This window comes from Homo sapiens, chromosome 3 (assembly GCF_000001405.40).
Source record: "Homo sapiens chromosome 3, GRCh38.p14 Primary Assembly".
In the NCBI taxonomy this organism is placed as follows: domain Eukaryota; kingdom Metazoa; phylum Chordata; class Mammalia; order Primates; family Hominidae; genus Homo; species Homo sapiens.
Genome location: NC_000003.12, coordinates 38948443 through 38965982, shown reverse-complemented (window position 1 = coordinate 38965982; position 17540 = coordinate 38948443). Strand labels below are relative to the sequence as shown.

Genomic DNA, 17540 nt, shown 5'->3' with positions numbered 1-17540 from the left:
TAAGGGACAGGGTCTTGTTCTGTCACCTAAGGTGGTGTAAAGTGGCACAATCCTAACTCACTGCAGCCTTCACCTCCAGGGCTCCCATGAGTCTCCTGCCTTAGCCTCCTGAAGTGCTGGGATTGCAGGTGTGCACCACCATACCCAGGCCTCGGCTTCCTTTTAAAAATGCATACTCCCCTCCCTTTCTTTGGAACACAAGCTGACTTCTAGTCGAATCTGTGTCTTCCAAATTGCAATTCTTAAGACTCCAATAAACACCTTGTCATATGAAAAAAAAAGAAAAAGAAAGGCTTCACAGAAGCAGCAGAAATTCAGAGATTGGGAAATGCGTGAGAAGAAAGGCAAGAGGAGAGCACTGCGACTTTAGCAAGACTCAGAGTGGCCACAAGGTCTGGTCAGGGCAGGGAACAGAGAAGAGCAAGATGTGGCTGGAACAGGGGTGGTCAGGATAGGGACAGCTTACCAGGAGGAAACTGGAGCAGACTGTCGATTGTGAAGGCCTTCATGATGGTCAAGATGAGAGGTGAGAAGGGCTTGCACTGGGCGAAGCTGGCTGGAAACAAAAGATGGGAATGAAGAAACCAGACCTTACAAACGTTGTCTTACAGGGGCCTGGCAGGGCCTCCTTCCCAGGACCAGACATACAAGATTGAGGAGCCAGGGCTGGGTCTCAGAAAGGACTATGAGGAGGTTAGCAGTTATTTTATTTATTCACAAACAATTATTAAGCACCTATTAAGTGACATGCACTGTTTTAATCACGGCACGGCAGTGAACAAGATCATGAAACTCTTCTCAATGAGTATGCTTTCTGTAAGGATCTACTAGGAGTCTCCATTAGAACCCTGGAGGAAGTGCTTCCTAGCCACGGATTCTGTGCTTCCTCAGAGCTGTCTCTGAAGAATCAGTCACAGCCAGTTCTTTTGGTTTGCTTACTCTCAGTTTCCCCACACAATGCTCTGTTCACTTTGGCTGTTCACTCTTCTAAGCGGCACTCATCCTACACTGAACGTTGTCCATTGACATCTGCTTATTTGCATGGATGTCAGCAGTGGCCCACATCAGGGAAACAGAAGACTTGGTGGTTATGCCTAAAGTAATCGAGAGCTTGAGACGGTGCCAGTATCATGCCTGCTGTGTGAATCAATACAAATTTAGGTTTGAACTCCTTGGTGGTATGCAAGAGGTATTCAAGGCATCCCTTCAACTTTGCCTCCTCTTCTTCCATGCTCCTCCTTTTGGCAATACCACATCTCCATGAAACCACTAGAGGTTGTCTACACATGCTTGTACCTCCAAGCCTGTGTGCCCTTGCACCTGCTTTTCATGGAAAGCCCATCCCCACTTTCTCCACCTGTTGAGTTCTTAGTCATCCTCTATGCTTCAGTTTAAATCTCACCTCTTCTCGGAAGCCATACCAGAACGAGTTGCTCCCTGTCCCATTCTGTGAAAGCCTCTGTATCTTACTTGCAGCTCCTTGATGATCTCTTGCTTTTTTATGGTTCTTTCTCAGCACACCTGTTCTTTCTCATGCAGCAGATGCATGCTCCTAAAGACCTAAGGTCTTGTTTTAATGTTTTCAGGATACAGCATGGTGTTCTGCAGTAGAGGCGGCTCAATGTCATCTTTGCTAAATGAGCAGATGGGAGGTGTTGCTGCTGCTAAAGCTGATGCACCTTACCTGGCCACTGATGCTGAAGCCAGACTCCTCATCAGACGGCAGAACTGAGACTGGCAGGGTCTTGCTGCCTGCCATCACCAAGGGACGGCAATGTGCTGTGTGGCTCCAAGGATGCAAATGTGGGGCGCCTCTGAACGTGTCTGTTGTTGACATCCTCTTACAATGTGGACCCAGCACAGGTGCTCTGCTCCATTTGTCAGACACATGTTTTAATTTCCCACAGGACAGAAAAGTCCTGAATGCAAACTCCACTCAAGTGACCTGTGTGTGTATTATTCTTTGTCACTTAAGTCTTTACACTTGGAATCATTTGCATTTACCTTAAAGATGAAGCTAGAAAGATTCTTTGAAACTTCAGGAAGTCTGAATGTGACTTAAATGTGACTTAATTGTTCAGAAAAAATTGTTTAATTTTTTAAAATTTTTCTGTAAGTTATTGGGGTACAGGTGGTATTTGGTTACATGAGTAAGTTCTTAAGTGGTGATTTGTGAGATTTTGGTACACATATCACCCGAGCAGTCTACACTGTACCATATTAGTAGTTTTTTAATCCCTTGCCTCTCTCCCACTCTTCCCCCCGACTCCCCGAAGTCATTGTATCATTCTTATGCCTTTGCATCCTCATAGCTTACTCCCACATATCGGTGAGAACATACGATGTTCAGTTTTCAATTCCTGAGTTACTTCACTTGAATAATAGCCTCCAATCTTATCCAGGTCACTGCAAAAGCTGTTAATTCATTCCTTTTTATGTCTGCATAGTGTTCCATTATATATATGTATCTCCATCATATATATATATATCTCCATCATATATATATATCTCCATCATATATATATATATATCTCCATCATATATATATATATATATATCTCCATCATATATATATATATATATATATATCTCCATCATATATATATATATATATATATATATATATATATCCATCAAATAGATATAGTTTCTTTATCCACTTATTGATTGATGGGCATTTAGGTTGTTTCCATGATTTTGCAGTTGTGAATTGTGCTACTACAAACATGGATGTACAGATTATTTTTTTTTTTAATAAAGACTTCTTTTCCTCTGGGTAGATACTCAATAGTGAGATTGCTAGATCAAATAGTAGTTCTACTTTTAGTTCTTTAAGGAATTTCCACACTGTTTTCCACAGTGGCTGTACTAGTTTACATTCCCACCAGCAGTGTAGAAGCATTCCCTGTTCACTGCATCCACGCCAACATCTACTGTTTTTTGATTTTTTAATTATGGCCATTCTTGCAGGAGTAAGGTTGTATCACATTGTAGTTTTGATTTGCTTTTTTCTGATCATTAGTGATGTTGAGCATTTTTTCACGTTTGTTGGCCATTTGTATATCTTTTGAGAATTGTCTATTCATGTCCTTAGCCCACTATTATTATTATTATTATTATTTTATTTTTTATTTTTAGACGGAGTTTCACTCTTTTGCCCAGGCTTGAGTGAAGTGGCATGATATCTGCTCACTGCAACCTCCGCTCCCTGGGTTCAAGTGATTCTTCTGCCTCAGCCTCCTGAGTAGCTGGGATTATAGGCGCCCACCACCATGCCCAGCTAATTTTTGTGTTTTTTGTAGAGATGGGGTTTTGTCATGTTGGCCAAGGTCTTGAACTCCTGACTTCAGGTGATCCATCAGCCTCAGCCTCCCAAAGTGCTAGGATTACAGGTGTGAGCCAACGCATCCAGCCCTTAGCCCACTTTTTGATGGAATTGAAAGAAATCATAGATGACACAAACAAATGGAAACACATCCCATGCTCATGGATGGGTAGAATCAATATTGTGAAAATGACCATACTGCCAAAAGCAATCTACAAATTCAACACAATCCCCATCAAAATATCACCATCATTCTTCACAGAATTAGAAAAAACAATTCTAAAATCCATATGGATCCAAAAAAGAGCCCACACAGCCAAAGCAACACTAAGAAAAAACAACAAATCTGGAGGCGTCACACTACCTGATTTCAAATTATACTATAGGGCCATAGTCACCAAAACAGTGTGGTACTGCTATAAAAATAAGCACATATACCTATGGAACAGAATAGAGAGCCCAGAAATAAACCCAAATACTTACAGCCAACTGATCTTCAACAAAGCAAACAAAAACATAAAGTGGGGAAAGGACAGCCTTTTCAACAAATGGTGCTGGGATAATTGGCAAGCCACATATAGAAGAGTGAAACTTGATCCTCATCTCTTGCCTTATGCAAAAATCAACTCAAGATGGATTAAAGACTTAAACCTAAGGCCTGAAACTATAAAAATTCTAGAAGACAACGTTGGAAAATCCCTTCTAGACATTGGCTTAGGCAAGAATTTCATGACCAAAAACCCAAAAGCAAATGCAATAAAAACAAAGATAAATAGCTGGGACCTAATTAAACTAAAGAGCTTTTCAGCAGAGTAAACAGACAACCCACAGAGTGGGAGAAAATCTTCACCATCTATACATTTGACAAAGGTCTAATATCCAGAATCTACAAAGAACTCAAACAAATCAGTAACAAAAAAAACCCAAACAATCCTATCAGAAAAATAATTTTTTTAAAGAGTCTACATTTCAAAAGGCCAGGGCTCTTTAAGATAATGGATTCGGAGTCCTCTTACCTTTTCAAACACACACGTTGCATTTATGTAAAAAGTGCTTATTAACTCTAAGTACCTCTCTTATTCTTTGGTCTTCTCTTATTCTGGGAGTCACTGTGAAACCAGGCAAGGGCTTAGAATTTTTGATTCCTGCTTCAAAAACCCAAGCCATATGCTCCATGCCAGGCCAGGGGCTGATCCCACGTCTGTGGTTTCAATTCCTCTCCAGAGGACCTGGGTGTTGGCTTAGTAGGGGGAGAAAAGCAACCAGGCATTTTTCCTCTTAAAAATCCACAGATACTTCGATTTAGTGTTTGCTGAGTGTTTTTAGAGCTATTATCACATTTGCTTCTTAACAGTAAAAAGATTTGAAAGAATTATCATATTTAACATGGAGAAAACTAAGGCTCAGGAAACTAAGTGATCTTTCCAATAACATGCAGCTGAGAAGTGGTGGAGCCGAAACCAGTATTCAGCGCCCCTTGTGGCAGGACCAAAATTTCCTGTTTCCCATCCTGCACTCCCGTAAGCACCTACTTCCTTGTAAACACTCACCCTGTACCCTTTATCTCAGCTGACTGTCAGCTAGTCTCCTGAAGGTGACAATAGCTTATGGTGTGATACTTTCCAGGGAGACTTAAATTTTCCCCAGGAATAAAAAGCAAACAAACAAACAACAAAAAAAACACTAAGAGCTTACTTGGGGGAGTTTTGGGTTGGTGACAGTCTGCTGCAGAGTTGTCTGGATGACCAAAAGTTCTCTTGGCATCCCTATGGCCACCACATAAGCATGCATGTTATCAATATTTTTCTAGGTCTGAACCCCAAGGTTAATGGCACAAGAGAAGAGAAAGGAGGAGATGCCAAATGGACACCCTGTAAGCAATTCCATGTTGTGTGGGCCTCAGTGGGTCCTGTGGGGGGTGAGACCCCAGAACACTGGGTTAGGAGGCCTGCAGCTTAAGCTTAATGCGGAAGCACAACCTGGCTTTTCACACAGACTTTTCTGTATTCCCTCACCCACTTGGATCAGGCCACAGAAAAAAAAACAACAACCTGTTTCTTTATTAATGATGCTTTCTGCAGAGTTAGATTAAGCACTGATTAAAGGCAGATGCTTCCAAAGTATAAATGTAAGTACCCTCTCAGTCACTTCTCCGGTTACAGGGTTTCCTACACAATTCTTTAAAATCACTTTGGCTTTCTTCCCATTTGCCTTCCTCCACACTCTCCACCCAGCCTCCAAGCCGCTCCTCCCAGAAGGGCTCCAGGCAGCTGCCAGGAGCAGAAGCTCGAACTCTGCTGAGAGACTTGCTCTGTGGAGAGCTTCAAGAAGTATCGCTGGGATTGCTGTCTGGAGCCACCTTACCAAGAAGTCAGGTAAGTCCTCTGGGCCGGGTGCAGGCCTGTTCTGTTCTTTCAAGTCTGGGACCTGCCACCTGGAACTTGGTTTGTTTTTCTCATCAGGGTAGAGTACAGGCCTTTTGTGATTATTTTCTGATCAAATTAGAAGCAGAGAGCGGGTACGAGATATATGGCTCAGCTGGTGGAGTCCATCGGGTTGTTCTCCCTGCTGTCAAATACACTGAGAGGTCATGGGCTCACAGGGACAGGAGATGGCCAGCTGGCCTAATAGGCGCTTGCAACCCTGGACTTTGTGCCAGCAATTGGACCTTGCTAGAAAAGGTCATCTCAAATCTTGTCTCCAACTGAGGCGATGGTAAAAATCCTCCAAATATTTTCTGAATTCCCCGTGGCCAATTTATTTAATCAGAAATTGACATGCATGATTTCTTTACTGAAGAGCTAGCAAACTAATCTTGGGATTGACTTTGAATTGAGATCAATTTCATTAAACTCTGATCATGTTCGTTTGCTTTCTGATTTTCTTATGGGATCTATGAAGAGGGAAAGAGATATCTTTTTTTTGTAACTTACGTTAATAAATATGGATTATGTGTCACCAAAGTTAAGAACTTGTTCAGGTTACACCTAAAATGAATGAGGAGGTTTTCTGTAGGGCATGTCTACCATTAAGCTGTCTGACTTGGGTGGTGGATGAGAGTGTCATGGTGAGGCCAGTGGAATGCCCGTAGGACTGACATGTGAATGAGGAGGTGGCAGTGGGTTGAGGTCCTGGGAGGCCACATCACACACAGTGAGGCTGCCATAGACGCATACCAGCCCAGTTGGAAGCTTGTGAGGCTTTCTCCTCTTGACTCCTTTCTCCCATCTCCTTGGGGATATCTTAGTTTTAAGTAAGAAGAACTAGGCACGTAGGAGGAATTGCATGGTGGCTAAGAGTATAAGGCCTGGAATGGAATTGTTTCGGCTTGAGATTTTCCAGCACTTACTTATGTGATCATAAGCAAGTTTTCTCAATTTCTGTAAGACCTAATGTCTTCTGCAAAATGGGGATGATGTAATCATGCCCACCTTGTAGATTTCTGGGGGAAATTCTGAAAGATAATCCATTTAAAGCATTTGCCCCTTTGTTTAGCCCATAATTCATAATTCTTATTAACCTCAGTGTGGACCTCTGGCATTCCAGATTGTGTGGACCAGATCTATGCTGAAATGTTCCAGGTGAGCAGTTGGAAACATCTTGCGATTTCCCTTACTGGTTAGGATAAAGTATGAGAATCACAGTATCAGTTTGCTCTTTGCCAAAAGAGAAAGCTAGAAACACCAGGCAAGGAAGGTATAAGGTTAAAGCCTCTGACCTTAAAGAGAAGGCCATAAATAATCCACCTTCATTCTAGATGAACATTTCTTTCAGATATCCCCAAGAATAATATATATCTCATAAAATTGTTTTGAGGGTTAAATGAGATAATGTATGTTAGTTAACACACTCCAAATTTCACCTGGAACAGCATAGACACTATGAAATGGTAGCTTTCTTTATGAAAATGTTCTTGTTATAGGGTTTAGTGAAAAAGTCACCATTTAAAATTGTTATACAGGACAATGACAGTCATATGAAATATATGGACAAAAAGACTACTGCAAAGAGATACACTAAAATGTTAAAACTTGTACATATTAGATGGCTATGGCTTGTGGGTAATAATTTCCTTTTCCTGATTTCTAAATTGTATTTAGTGAATGACTCTATCAGCCAGGGCCCCAGCAGGAAACAGATGGCAAGCTCAAATTGGACATTGTGAGGATATTTTATTAAAGGGACTTTTTACAAAGGTGTGGGCAGAGTACCATAACAGAAGCAGGTGATGGTGCATTTCTCAGGTTGGTGAGAGTGAGGTGCCATTACACCCCACATCAGAAGAGGCAAGGGAAGGGAGGTGCGAGCCCTGTAGATGGGCACCTCACAGGCACTGTGGCCCATGGCCACCATCAGGGGAAAGCTGGAAGAGAAATCCCTGCCCTCACTCTCCCATCATATTCCGGGTCACTTGCTGGATACCTCTCACCAACCAAACCCAGCCATAAGCCAGAGTGTGAGAGATCCCATGGGGGGCTACATGTGGGTCAGCTTTGCATCACTGAGCAGAGTGGGGAAGGATGGAGAGTGAGCTGGAGGGCACAGTGAGGCTATGTGACTTTTATAACTACAGGCGAATTCATAAATAAGAGCCAGGAGTCCGTGTGCAGCCCTCAGTGCTTTCACACTACGTTGCCTATTGTCCAGGCCACCTCCCTCCCTCCTCCCAGCTAAATGACTTCTGATTCCTCGTCACCATGCCCCACTCAGGGCTCCCACAGCACCCAACAATTGCCTCTGGTGCAGACGTACACATGGCATGGTTTCATCCTCCGTCATTTCTTCACCTGGTCTCCACAGATTGGAAGACCCTGGAAGGCTGGTGCTTTATATCCCTTTGCATCCCCAGTGCCCAGCACATGAATGAATGAACCATGGGAGGTCAGGCCTAAGTGCTTCTATAAAGCTTGCAGCTTTGGAAAGTGAGGCCTTAGTCCTCTCTCCTAGGTGAGTGTTTGCTTTCTGTCTATTCGGCAGGAGTGGGCCAGTCTACAGAAGAGCAGTTGCAGAGTTCCCTGTGACAGGTAGCCCTGGCCACCCTGCAAGACTGGCCCCTGGGCTCATGAAGGTCTTGCAGGGCCTCCTCACTGCTCTCCCAGGCTCTGTCATTCCCCACGTCAAGTCGTAACCCGCATGTGGCCGGCCTCCCAGTTTAAGACTGCATGCAAGTTGAGATTCTGCTTGTTTCCTTCATGGCCCAAGGGGATTGGGAGCCTGTCGTGCTTGATATCTTGTCTCTCTAGTTTGAATCAGAAGATGTTTTCATCCCCTGAAGGATTTTCACAATCCTTTTGCAACCTATAAAAGTAACACAAGCACATAATTCAAATAGCTTAGAAGGAGAAAATGTTGAGAAGGATATAACGTTAAAAGTAAAATGTCTCCACTTTCACCTATGCTCAGTCCCACTTTTAACCATTTTAGTGTTTAATTCTGGTCATTTTCTCTCTTTAATTTTTTTTTAAGTTTTATTTTTTTCTTTGAACTACTATGCCCAGGGACTATTTAATTTTCAATTGACAAAATAATCATTGTATATATTTGTAGGGGGTCTCTCTAACTTTAAATTAGCTTACACTGCTATTTCTTGATTTATACAGTTTGAGTAGAAGTTTTTGAATTGTCCCTATGGGAGATGAGGAATTTAGCTTATTGATGGTAATCCTTCTGGGCTCCCCATGATTCTTCCAGTTTTTGTTATCTGTATTTAAAATTTGGTTTTGTACTTATCTGTGTAATTTTAAGGTATAAACTTATTTTTGTATGGCTTGACCAACCTTTCATAGAGTGTCTTGACTCTCTAAATGTTTAAGGTGAGAAAATTGGTATCTTTAATCTTCCCTTCACTTTTTCTCTCCGACTTCAGCTTGTAGTAAAATTTTATAACATTTATAGCATTTGTAATCTACTCTATAATTATAATTAATTCTGCTTTATCTTTAGGATGATTGTGAAAATTAAAAACTAATAGATAACCTGAATTATATCATAATTTTGTAGCTACTATTTTCCGGAACCAAGAACTGTACTATATTTGGACCCATAATAAAGGTAAAGGAATGGACCCTGATGTTACTATCTGCTGCACATTCAAGGTCAAGGTCAAATGAATTATCTTATTTTTCCTGTTATACTGAAGGATGTTCCTTACCAAGGTTCCTGTCAAAATGGCAGGGTATCAGGGTTCAAATCATTTAGTTGGCTTTGTCTATAAACCATTACTTTTGAAGTACGTCTTATTTTGATGGAATTTCTCATTACCTTTCTTTTAACATTTGGAAAAACCATTTTCTGAAACATATTTTTTGTTACATAAAATTTTCTTTATAGTTTAAATATTTTTCCCAGGATTCTCTGACTTTTCTGTCAGGGCAATTGCTTCTTTTTGTTTGTTTGTTTTTGCTTTTTTTTTTGAGACGGAGTCTCCCTCTGTCACCCAGGCTGGAGTACAATGGCTCAGTCTTGGCTCATGGCAACCTCCACCTCCAGGGTTCAAGTGATTCTGCTGCCTCAGCCTCCCAGGTAGCTGGGATTACAGGCACGCACCACCACACCTGGCTGATTTTTGTATTTTTAGTAAAGATGAAGTTTCACCATGTTGGCCAGGGTGGGCTCAAACTCCTGACCTCCTGATCTGCCTGCCTCAGCCTCCCAAAGTGCTGAGATTACAGGCATGAGACACCATACCCGGGCTTTTGTGCCGAACGTGCAGGTTTGTTACATAGGTATACATGTGCCATGGTGGTTGAGCAATTGCTTCTTAAGCCTATTGATGTGTGGTTGACCAGAAATATTTTATTGCACTCTTCGGTTAAGGACATAATGTCTTGGATTCCATGCATCCTGCTTTTCTGAATTCTCTTTTCATTGTTTGGGAGTATATACTCAAGTAATTTTTTTTGTAAAGAGTCATTCAGAATCTGAAAATTTTATCTTCAAATTTGTTAGCAGGACTTGGAAAATAATTGCACTTAGCTAATTTAATTCTTTGATCAATTTTCTAGCAATGCAATCTATTTTCTGCACAGAAAATTTTCAGAATTAAGTATTTCTGTACAAATTTCACCATAAGGGTTTGAGTCATTTCAAATTTTACCAATTACAGCTTGTGCCATATTGATTTTCTATTAATTTATCAATTTTATCTATTTTGTGGATGCAGCCTTGATTTTCACAGTCGAATTTTCCTGAGTTTACTTATTAAAGAATACTTGATTCTTCCATTAATTGTTTTTTCAGTTAATAAGGAAATTTTACTGCATACTGCATGTGGTTTTATTTTGTCAGATTTATTTGAGTTCATAATTTTTATTCAGTTTTCCTTTTCCTGGGTCAATTTTTGCAGTTTTCAATATTACTTTCATTTTTTTTGGGACAGAGTCTCATTCTGTGGCCCAAGCTCAAGTGCAGTAGAGTGATCTCAGCTCACTGCAACCACTACCTCCTGGTTCAAGCGATTCTTGTGCCTCAGCCTCCTGAGTAGGTGGGATTACAGGCACACGCCACCACACCTAGCTAATTTTTCATTTTTAGTAGAGATGGGTTTTCACCATGTTGGCCAGGCTGGTCTCAAACCCCTGGTATCAAGCAATCTGTCTGCCTTGGCCTCCCAGTGGGTGTAAGCCACTGCACCTGGCCTCAATGTTACTTTTCTTTTCTTTTCTTTTTTTGAGACAGAGTCTGGCTGGGTTACCCAGGCTGGAGGGCAGTGGCACAATCTTGGCTCACTGCAACCTCCGCCTCCTGGATTCAACTGATTCTCCTGCTCAGCCTCCCGAGTGGCTGGGATTACAGGTGCATGCCACCATTCCCAGCCAATTTTTGTATTTTTAGTAGAGACAGGGTTTCACCATGTTGGCCAGGCTGGTCTCAAACTCCTGACCTCAGGTAATCCATCTGCCTTAGCCTCCCACAGTGTTAGGATTACAGACATGAGCCACTGTGCCTGGCCAATGTTACTTTTAAGATGTGGTTCTTTAGGTGTGTGTGTGTTTTTTTGTTTTTTTGTTTGTTTGTTTGTTTGTTTTTTTATCATCTATAACAAATTTTACTGTGTACAGTTTCAGGGGTTGTCAGTTTTATTTTGTGTTATATTTATTTTTAGCAAGTTTCTCTTTCTTAAGAACCCAGGCAAAATATCTCCCAGAGTCAAAATGGCAGGGTGAAAGTGTCCAGTTGCTTCTTTAATCGCCCCATTAGGATGGCAGCACCTGCCACTGGACTCCTTGCTGTAACTGAGCATAGGGTCCAGGTTTTACCATCCAGGGTCTTTCACAGCGCATCCATTTTACAGGATTGACTAGCATCCATATTGTGTTCACTGCAAAAGACTTATGCTCTGAATTAAATGTCTTTCTTGAGCTCTAGAGTCAAATGCAGCAGAGTCTCATTATATGCCCACTTCATTCATACAAATTCAATTACACATGTTCATGAGGAGGGGGAAATTGAAATAGTGCGGGGAATTCCATCATCCAGACCTATCAATAATGAGCTTGACTCTGGATGAATGTGGGACAGACAGTGATGAATCTACAGTCCTACATTCAGTTTCAGCTGACATATGGCTCTCACAGTATTATCATTGCTTGCCCTAATCATAGTATACTTGAAGGATCATACATTGCCTTTATCATGGCCCTGAAACACAATCCAACTACTTTGTTTGGGGCTAACCTGAAGAAAGAGTGTCTGGTTCTGGCCCTGGAAGAAAAGCTGGTTGTATTGAACTCGTTTAAGTAATGAATTGGGATGCCTCTTCAGTATGGTGCCTTCCTGAGGGAGTTTCAAGAGAAATTTTGGCTACATTTCTTTGCTTTCACGCTGTTTTCAGAGCCTGACATGTGTGAACTATGATTTCCCTATATTCGAGTGCCTTTTGGTTCTCTCCACTTGCAGGTTCCCCAGGCAGCTTCAGCTTCGTGTGTTGCAAACCAAATTTATTCCCTCGCAGTGCCCTCCTTTTCTTGCACTCTCTGTCTCAGTGAGTGGCCACACTGTCCTCTCATCTGCTCAAGCCAGGAATCTCGGTAAGGACCATCCCTCAAGTCTCTCTCTTCCCATTAATCTCATGTCAAGGCTATTTATTAACTCTCAAATCCATGCATGTCATTAGATCATCCCCTGTAATTTGATTTGCTACAAGAGTTTCCAAGCTCACTTCTCTGATTTTAGCCTCCCCTTTATCTTCCTATCTCAAGCCTTTTCAATCCCCAACAGTTAGAGGGACTTTTTTTTTTTAACTTGTATTTTAAGTTCAGGGGTACACATGTAGGTTTGTTACATAGGTAAACTTGTGTCATGGGGGTTTGTTGTACAGATTATTTCGTCACCCAGGTATTAAGCCTAGCACCCATTACTTATTTTTCCTGATCCTTTCCTTCCTTCCACCCTCCACCTTCCCATGGGCCTCAGTGTGTGTTGTCCCCCTCTATGTGTCCATGAGTTTCTATCATTTAGCTCCCACTTATAAGTGAGAACATGTGGTATTTGGTTTCCTGTTCCTGAGTTAGTTTGCTAAGGGCCTTCCAGCTCCATCCATATCCCTGCCAATTCCCAATAGTTAGAGTGGCTTTTCTTTAAAAAAACAACAACAACAACAAAAAAAAACAAATCTGATAGTGTTTCGCCTCTGCAGTAACAACAACAGCAATGAAAACCCAAACCTTTAGTAATTCCCCATTACCCTCAGGGGAAGTCCATGATCTTTACCAAAGATTACAGGCCTGCCCACTCTCTCCCTCTGCTGAGTAAAGCCCTATTGGCCATTCCACTCCATGAAATCCCCATTCCTGGCAAACAGAACCAGTTGCTGGACATCATGTTCTTTCTCAGCTGAGGGTTCCTGTACACACTATTTGCTCTCCCTGGAGCATCCTAGTGTCCCCCTTTTTCTCTTGTCCTAAGTCTTACATCTCCTTCAGGTCTCAATTTAGACATTAAAGGTTTGGACAACAGTCCCTGATTCCCTGTTGAGACGCCTATCCTATGATGAGACACCTATCCTATGCATAGACATAGCCCCACTACTTCTCTCTGTAGTAGCATTTGTTCTATTTTAGTTTCCTGTCTTTGTCTTTTCTACTACTCCAGGACAGTGTAACTGTTGGACCAGGGACTGTGTTTCTTCACCGTTAGTGCCTAGCACCATGCCTAGAACAGACACAGGGCATATAATTGTTGAAGGAACAAACCAGTGATATGTTGGGTTTCTTACTATAATTTCCTGGAGTGGGTGTAAGAGTCAGCCCTAGATTAGCATCCAGTAAATAAGAAAGAAAGAGGATGGCTGGCATGGGGAAATAGGCATTCAACCTGAATACTACTGCTTCTTTTCAGTGTCTAGTTTGAACCCTGTGGCTGTAGAGAAAGTCCTCAAAGAAGCTATTATCCTATGGTAGAGTAACCCTATTAACAAACCCTTTCTGCTTTTGTGTCCGGAATTGGTGGGTTCTTGGTCTCACTGACTTCAAGAATGAAGCCTCGGACTCTCGCGGTGAGTGTTACGGCTCTTAAGGCAGTGCGTCTGGAGTTGTTCATTCCTCCTGGTGGGCTCGTGGTCTTGCTGGCTTCAAGAGTGAAGCTGCAGACCTTCGTGGTGAGTGTTACAGCTCATAAAAGCAGTGTGGACCCAAAGAGTAAGCAGTAGCAAGATTTATTGCAAAGAGCAAAAGAACAAAGCTTCCACAGTGTGGAAGGGGACCCCAGCGGGTTGCCACTGCTGGCTCCAGCAGCCTGATTTTATTCTCTTATCTGGCCCCACCCACATTCTGCTGATTGGTAGAGCCTAGTGGCCTGTTTTGACAGGGTGCTGATTGGTGCGTTTACATTCCCTGAGCTAGATACAAAGGTTCTCCACGTCCCCATCAGATTAGTTAGATACAGAGTATAGACACAAAGGTTCTCCAAGGCCCCACCAGAGCAGCTAGATACAGAGTGTCGATTGGTGCACTCACAAACCCTGAGCTAGACACAGGGTGCTGATTGGTGTATTTACAATCCCTGAGCTAGATATAAAGACTCTCCACGTCCCCACCAGACTCAGGAGCTCAGCTGGCTTCACCCAGTGGATCCCGCACCGGGGCCGCAGGTGGAGCTGCCTGCCAGTCCTGCGCCATGCGCTCGCACTCCTCAGCCCTTGGGCGGTCGATGGGACTGGGCGCCGTGGAGCAGAGGGCGGTGCTTGTCGGGGAGGCTCCGGCCGCACAGGAGCCCATGGAGGGAGTGGGAGGCTCAGGCATGGCGGGCTGCAGGTCCCAAGCCCTGCCCCGCGGGAAGTCAGCTAAGGCCCGGTGAGAAATCGAGTGCAGCGCCAGTGGGCCGACTCTGCTGGGGGACCCAGTACACCCTCCGCAGCCACTGGCCCGGGTGCCAAGCCCCTCACTGCCCGGGCCGGCAGGGCCAGCCGGCTGCTCCGAGTGCGGCGCCCGCCAAGCCCACGCCCACCCGGAACTCCAGCTGGCCCGCAAGCGCCGGGTGCAGCCCCGGTTCCCGCTCGCGCCTCTCCCTCCACACCTCCCTGCAAGCTGAGGGAGCCGGCTCTGGCCTTGGCCAGCCCAGAAAGGGGCTTCCACAGTGCAGCGGTGGGCTGAAGGGCTCCTCAAGTGCCGCCAAATTGGGAGCCCAGGCAGAGGAGGCGCCTAGAGCGAGCGAGGGCTGTGAGGACTGCCAGCACGCTGTCACCTCTCACTTTCTTAGGGTCGAAGTCCTAGAAGTGAGAGAGCCGGCATGGGGGTCGCAGTTCATGCCTATGTTTATGGCTCTTTTGTTCCCATTTCATCACATTTTAAGAACTTTACTGACTGGATGTGAGAAAAGACCCATGCACTTTCAGTTTTGCTTTTGCAATCCATAACTATGGCCCAGTCAATTCCCTGTTCCTTTTTCTCTTGTTTGGGCCATGTGGCCACTTGCCTGCTACTTGCAGATCCCACTTCAGCAGTTCAGCCGGCTCAGCCTTATTGTCTTGCTTAATGTCTGGGTCTCAGTTTTAGAGACTGGGCTTCTTCTGCTCACTTGTTCCTGAACTCAACTTCCCGCCTTTTGCCAGGTCCTCCAGGAATGATGCCCTGCTTTGGTTTTGTCTATGCCAAAAGTTCCTGCTATACCCACAGTGGTGGTCATCTCTTCTGATCTTCACAGCCAATCAGCTCCCAAGGCCCCTGACCTCAGCTCAGCTTTTGTAGATCCTTATGACACCATCCTTTAAGACTGGAATCCTAGGGCAGGCTGTTTTATTCCCGCCTCCTGAGGCCTTTCTGAGGATCTGTGGCTTGTCTCTGTCCTGAGGGTGAAGATGGATGACAGATGCTACCCAGTAATCTTTCCAGATGAGCGGAATTTCCGCCCCTTCACTTCCGACTCTCTGGCTGCAATTGAGAAGCGGATTGCCATCCAAAAGGAGAAAAAGAAGTCTAAAGACCAGACAGGAGAAGTACCCCAGCCTCGGCCTCAGCTTGACCTAAAGGCCTCCAGGAAGTTGCCCAAGCTCTATGGCGACATTCCTCGTGAGCTCATAGGAAAGCCTCTGGAAGACTTGGACCCATTCTACCGAAATCATAAGGTACTTCATTGGGCGGGGGGGGGGGGTGGGGGTGGGGGTGTTCTAACCATGCAGTTGTAACTGGTGTTACAGGTTCTCCAAACACCACTCTTAGGGTTTATAGCAGGCAGGCTGTGCCTCTTCTTTGCTGTCATCCCCTGGCATTGCCTTGATAGTCCTGAAAACCCCTTTCAGTCCTCATTTTTTCTCTGCAATGCATGTATTAGAGGAGAAGATGAGGATGAGGGACTGCAAAAGGATAAAAGGAAAACAGAGAAAACACAAAATGAAGTCTGGAAAGAGGACTGGACTAGTAGTCCCAGAAGTTAGATACAGGCCATTTCAATTGATTGGCTTTATGACTCTGGGCAAGTCACTTTACTAATCTTCACTTTTAAAATCTGTATAATAGAAATAATGCCTGATGTTCCTACCTTAGAGCATAGACATGCTGGGAAAGCACTTTATCACTATAATGCATTATACTGATACAAAGGATTAATATCATGGTCCAGAAATGCTCATTATAGCAACAAGATTTTACCTTAAAAACTCTTGGATAATAGGCTTTCTAGGCTATTAAATGAGACTAATAGGGCTCAAACCAACAACTGATGCATAGTAGGAGCTCAATAAATGAAACCTAAGAAAATGGTAACCAAGTGGGCACATGCAGATTCTATGTAAACTCAATGCAAATATGTGAAAGCCTTGCTATTTTATCTGCCTGGATGCAGTTCTTGCAGGGAAATTCTAGTAAAGGTTTCTTGAAGGGGCTCCCGAGTGAGGGAATGTAAACTTTGAGCTCCCACATGACTGCTCTAGAGCCTGAGGCTGTGAGCACACTTGGCCCTTTCAGGAAAGGCTCAGAAGATTTTGCCATCATCACCTCGCAGTGTGATCCAGCAGAGGTTGGAAACCCCACCTTGCCATACTGAGGTTAGAGACCTAGGAGGCTGGGAGGTTTGGGGAAGCCCTAGAAAATATGGGATGCTGAGAGCATCTTTGGCTGGCATCCATAAGAAACTGACCTTTCAAAGAAAGATTGCCTGATTTGCATGTACTTCAATTGGGATAGACTTAGAGTTGCCAGGCCAAATGAGGACCACATATACAGAGGAAAGTAGAGTATAAGTAGGAAGGACAAGCAAGGGGGAAAGAATTGAAGGAGCAAAAACACTCCAATGTTTCTCCTTTTTCTGATGCCCCAGGATTCCAGGGCCTTCTTGGAGGTATAGTTGTTGGAGGTGAGTTAACTGTAGAGGTCTCCTTCTGCATCAATGCTGGAGAGGAGACGCATGAGTCAGGCAGCAGTTTGGTGTGCAGCTGACAGTCCGGGAGAACAGGACTATTCCAGCCTGGGTGGTAATTCTAGGACCACCACTTCTCAGCCTGGGTCCTCACTTTAAATAAGAAGACACGATATCTGTTTAGAGCTCTGCACACCCATGATCTCACATGACCAGTGCCCTCAACAGTCATGTGAGGTATGTGTGATCATGATTAGCACTCTACCTTACAGATGAGGAAACCAGAGCCTAGCTGGGAAAGTGGCTTAAGCCAGGTCAAGCAGCCAGTGAGTGGTGGAGCTAGGATGCAAACCCAAGGGTGCTTTTTATCATCACAGGCTACTTCTCTTTGGAAGCCCCATTTTGAAGAGCAACAGGGGAAAGA

At 43.8% G+C, this 17540-nt stretch overlaps 1 protein-coding gene across 5 annotated transcripts in view; it reads left to right on the top strand.

The window, feature by feature from the left end:
• SCN11A (sodium voltage-gated channel alpha subunit 11) overlaps positions 1-17540 on the top strand; it is a 206181-nt gene that overhangs the window by 85962 nt on the left and 102679 nt on the right. For 2 of the 5 annotated variants that reach the window (NM_014139.3, XM_017005651.2), the window contains exon 1: positions 15422-15887. In NM_014139.3, the coding sequence (NP_054858.2) occupies positions 15621-15887 (267 nt within the window). In that variant the 5' untranslated portion in view covers positions 15422-15620. Of the gene's footprint in view, positions 1-5135; positions 5199-5559; positions 5701-9325; positions 9377-12223; positions 12355-15374; positions 15888-17540 lie in introns of those variants that run through there. The other 3 variants (XM_047447378.1, NM_001349253.2, XM_017005650.2) reach the window with 3 other exon arrangements.